Source organism: Homo sapiens, chromosome 13 (genome assembly GCF_000001405.40).
Source record: "Homo sapiens chromosome 13, GRCh38.p14 Primary Assembly".
NCBI classification, from domain to species: domain Eukaryota; kingdom Metazoa; phylum Chordata; class Mammalia; order Primates; family Hominidae; genus Homo; species Homo sapiens.
Genome location: NC_000013.11, coordinates 79,935,787 through 79,941,147, shown reverse-complemented (window position 1 = coordinate 79,941,147; position 5,361 = coordinate 79,935,787). Strand labels below are relative to the sequence as shown.

Sequence of the window (5,361 nt, the reverse complement as noted above, 5' to 3'; positions counted from 1 at the left end):
ATATCTCCTCATACAATGCTACAAGACTCTCAAGAGCCAGTGACTCGGTTACAAATTTTTATATCAACAGCACATAACCCAGTGCTTTGCCAACAATTGACACTCACTAAAAGTTTGTTGAGTGAACAAACGATTGAGTCTCTTTAATTTATAGGTGAAGAAACAGAGGTGAGAGGTTTTGCCCCAATTAAACAATCAACTAGAGGCTTAGCTGGGACAAGGTCAAGTACTCTTTCAACATAATATACTACTTTTTACCATTCTTCCTTAAATTGCTGGCAATATAGAGCCTAGAATATGAGACCAAAATGCTAGGAGGGGAGGAGGAAGAAATAATAAATAAAAAACTTCCCACCAAAGAAAAACCAAGCTTCATAAAAAAATCCAAAGGGAAGTATTTATAATTAATATATGGTTAATTTTCTCTTTGTCCATACAGCATGAAGCCAGCTCAAATCTGTACTCCTAAAAATCTCTGAATAGAGATCTTATAAAATGCCATAATTCCGCTGTGATCAACTACTTGTGGTTGTGGGAATGGATTATAGCAAAAATTCTTATAGACGTTTTCCCCTAAAAATAGACATAGATAATAATACATGAAAGTTGTAATAGAAATTAAAGTCTATTCATCTGAAAATGGAATTCTCTCATTTCACTGACTTAAAGTTAATTACTTATCAAAATTAGTAACTGATCTTTTCTCTCCTAAAAGATCCATCCCATTCAGAAATCCTGTTGAAGAAATGGCTAGCTGCTACTCACAGAGTAGTAACAAATAAGATTTCAAATTGCAGCAAACACACTCAAGTACATTTTGATAAACACACACCCAAGAAATTTGGGAAGCTAAGGTTACGAGTTTGAAACGTTATTTTCTTAATGAACAGCAGTAGCACTATTCTCAGGAAACATACCACAGAGGGAAGTGAGATTTTAAATCTATTTATTTATGTTTCTGAAGAGGATTTAAGTAATCCTGCTTTTATACAGCAGGTGCCACAGCAGACCAAAGCTTCTAATAGAATATTAGTGCAGTGAATTTATATCAAGAATGATGGCTCTTTTGAAGAATGCAATGGTACACAAACAGGAGGAAGTCCATTCGTCCCTTTAGCTCCTGCCTTCCCAGTTTACCTTCTTTTCTTCACTCCCACATTGTTAGTTTTTCCCTTTTGTGGGGAGTTGGGAGGATCTGAGATGACATGACATGTTGCTGCTCAGGGTTTCTAGGCTCTAATCCCTTAAAACAGTTATGCGCATGGGCACTAAGCAGGAAAGTACTCACACAGTGACATCATTCTGAAGTATTAAAATTTGCCACCAGAATTGTTTTCCTCTTCAGAGAATGAGAGCTACAGATAGTGATATTTTGTGTGTGTGTGTGTGTGTGTGTATGTGTGTGTCCTGTTAGGGAGAAAAAAACACTTGTAAAATTCTTAGAAACTGAAAATGCATCAGTGAATAGGTCTTTATGTTGGATATTTATGGGGAATTTGGTTTGTTTTCTGATTCTGTTTCAACTTTTAAGGAGCACCGTTAATGTGATTAATTAGCAAGAATTTATTGACGTGAAAAATCTAGACAGCCGAATATATATGATTTTTTTAAATGTATTTTTTCAGGTGAAACTATAAACTGGAGGCCTAATTAAGACCTGCTGTTTCCTGAAATTTTGTGTGCGCAGCCCTGGGAAGGAAAGTTGCACGGAGCTTTCCTTGAAGGGGTAATCTTGAGAGAAAATCCTGGCATTCTAGTCACTTCTTTCAAACATAGCCCTTACTTAAGAACCACAGTGAATTTATGTCTACGGTAAACATGAAAGCCTGTTATGGAACAGGCTTAGGGAAAACTCAAATCAACGTGATCATCATGAGTTTTGGACTTCAGCTGCTCCTAGCCAATGTTTCCAAATTTACGCTGAAACACCATTATAGATCATACAATTTTAGCCTGTTGACGTTTTCTTACCTCTTCTTTTCCCGTTACTTTGTTAAGAATGGAAGTCACTCTTCCTAACAAGAGAGAGAAAATCACCTTGCAAGAAATATAATAATTCAAAACTATTCATTGTAAAATAATTTGACTTTTGATGAGGTTGCAAAAGGCCTGAATTGAACAGATTTCTGACCAGCTCCCACTTTATCTGCTTTCATTAGAAAAAAATTTTTTCCTAATGTTGCTTTTTTATTAAATAGTTCCAAACATAAACTTTAAAACATAAGAATTAAAGAAATCTATATATTTCTAAATCTTCAAGATTTTATTAGTTTAGCAACATATTTGTATGGCTTATCCCCAATGTCTCAATCCAGTGGTGATAAAACTTCTGAAGTCCAAATTGCTTCACAATATGAGTATTTTTTACTCACTTGAAGTAAGCTTTTTTCTAATGCTTCAGGTAGAAAATAGGAACTACTTATAACTTGAGAACAGAAACCAATCTCCTAGTTGTCATTTAGTTCAACATTTTGAACTGATGTTTTTGCTAACTCACTAAATTGTAAGGTGTGAAAGTCACGGAATTTTTGTAAAAATTTTATATTTCTTTAATACTGTGAAAAGAAAACATGCCCAGTTTGCAAACCTCAATCAAGAAGCAAGTTATTTCCTTTAGATAATGCACTACGTATCAGCGCATAAGGGATCAACTCACAATATATAGTCCTGATGCATAATTCTGTATCCCCTAAGCCAGACAGCCAAAACACTTACTTACTCACAGAGAATAGCCAACACAAAAGCCCCTTTTTCCACTTCATGGGTAGGGCCTCATTATGTGCCTTCCTAAATATGGAGGGGAATTGAGGTCCCTACTTCCCTTTATAATGCTATTCAGTGCATTTGTCCAATAACTCATTGTCTCAGAAATTGTCTTGCTCACTTCCTATAGACATTCTCCTGTCTCCTCAGTGACACGTTCGTGGAGATAGACAGACATTCACAGTCGCCTCTTCTGGCTTCTCTGGCTCCACCTTGATGCATTCTTGCCTTATCCCAGACCAGGCCAGGCTCTTGCTCTGGATCTCAAAGGCCCAGGCCACATAAGGGCAGAGCAGCCACGTCAGAGCTGCTCCTGGCACCAAGAAAAATTATTTGCCCCGAGAGGCAAACACAGCCCCAGCAGTGTCCAGAGTATCAATCCCTCTCTTCTCTGTTATAAAAGGCCCTATTGTAGAAACACAAATCATTCAGAGATGGCATGTACAATGTCTAATCACTTAATAGCCACTGGGCACCTACTGGGTATGGGCCCCAAACTAGATACTGTCTGTAACCTATTCACTAGAGGGAGACAGGAAGGAATATGACACAGATTTATATTCATCTCCTGTTCTAGCCCAGTACACCATGGCCAACACACAGCCTTTGAACAAGTAGACAATTACAGCCATAATAGAGATGAGAATATTTTTATCTGTAAGTAGCAAGGTAGGGGATAGAACACAAGCTTGCTATTCACACTGACCTAATTTCGAATCCTGCTTCTATACTTAATCAACTGTGTGGCCTTGGGGAGCTTACTGAATCCCTCTGGGATTCTCTGGCCTTGTTTGCAAAAGGAAAATAATAATCTCTACACCATAAGTGCTGTGAAGAACAATGTAGAAGGTAGAAAGGCCGAAAGCTATGTGAGGTATACAGAGGACACAACAGTATTAATTCCCTTACCCATCTTTTGATTTCTAAATAACTGTCAAGACATTTTATATTCGATATCTTATTATTTGAACCTTATGCAAATCCTACTTGTATGTACTTTAATCTCAGAGATAGAATTTTAGGTCGTTGGATCTCTTTTTGTTTCCCTTTTGGAAATTTGATTGAAAAGATACACTTGTTTTCTCCAATTACCTTAGCTTTGCTCCTTGGCAAGTTTTACAAAACACCCGAAGCCATAAAAAGGGTTAATTTTATTCCAGTGTACCAGATGTCTTCAGCACCTTGACTTTAGTAATGTACTAAGAACAGTAAGTCTTTTTAATGAAAGTGAAAGGTATGCATTGTACTTAAATCTGGAGCTTTCTCCCCTGAAGAAACGCTGCCGCTGGGACTGCATCCCGCCATTTTAGACGGGGTGAGATATGTTTTTGCTTGCGTTTACCCTTCTGCAGTACATTTTCAAGCGACTGCAGTTGGTATCCAAGCAGTTAAAACTACATCAGCACTAATAGCTATGAGCTCATCTTGTATAAAGACATTTTTAGTTAAACACCACAATCTTGGGGGGAAAAACTTAGCGTGCTTAACCAGGCCAGCTTGGAATAGCTCACAATATGACGCATACCACAGGAAACAGAGTGGTATGAGGCACCTACAAAATATTTTTCAAACAAGTCATTGACGCTGTAAGCCCCATGCCTCAGCTTTAGGAAGTCACTTATTAAGAATCAACACCAGCCGTGCCAAGCTAAGCTTTTGCTCTTGGTGATTTTCCAATTGAATATTCAGGGCCCTGTCTCAGTCTTGTTTTCAGGGAAGTACATGCCTGGAATGTTAGCAAGCTATTTGCTGGAAAAAATGCCCACAACAGGCCTAATGTTGATCACATTAATGCGTTTGAGTGGGTATAGAGTGCAAATGATTGAAAATGCTTCCAGATCCCTGTTGCAGGGGACAAAGCAGGCTCTGTTCTCTGATCTGATGGTCATTTTTTTTCCAGTGGAGGATGTGGCGCAGGAAGAGGGAAGAGTGCCAATCTCTGTCTAATGGTTCCAAACAGGCCCTGGGCCTAGCTCTTTGGATGCTGATGAGTGGGAAATGAAACACAGATGGGTCAGATGGGTAAGGAGAAGGGGATTACAGGTCAGGCCAAAGAGTTGGAATAAATTAAGTGCTTATAAGGTACAGAATGGCACATTGTTTAAGTGAATGGACAGGGAAAAAACATTCCTGCATTGTTTGGTCCAGTGAGTGAACTCAACATTCCTCTTCCCAGACCAACCTAGGCCACAGAGATCCCCATCATCAGAATGTATATGAGCAACGAACCAAACTGTGGCCAAATGGTGCCTGAAATATTCTGCTATACCCCAAAGCAGCCAATTTTGTTTTATTACACAGGAGATGTAATTTATTGGGAGAAATGTTTGGGTTCATATGTCAGATCATAGAGAGTCAGATTTGGGGTTCCCTTGGGGATCCGAGGAGAAGGTGAGTAACCACAAATTAATACAGCAGGGAAATAAAGTGACAAAAGAAATGTTTCATTGTGCTTGAAATATTGAACCAATTTCCCCCTTTTTAGCCTTTTAAACCTTTGCTCACAAATCAAAGAGTAGCTCAACTTAAGAGAACTCAGCAGAAGCCTGTCATGCCCAGTAATGACAACAAAAAAGGTGAAGTCCAATGTATCCTTGG

The 5,361-nt window shown here is 38.5% G+C and overlaps 1 annotated feature.

Moving 5' to 3' along the window:
- Nucleotides 3,655-4,854: an enhancer, noted in NCBI's record as "P300/CBP strongly-dependent group 1 enhancer chr13:80510429-80511628 (GRCh37/hg19 assembly coordinates)". NCBI's record gives its function as "activates an origin of replication core promoter dependent on BRD2, BRD4, P300/CBP, MED14 and CDK7 cofactors, with strong dependence on P300/CBP, by STARR-seq in HCT116 cells {active_cell/tissue: HCT116}" and the evidence as "EXISTENCE:reporter gene assay evidence [ECO:0000049][PMID:35650434]".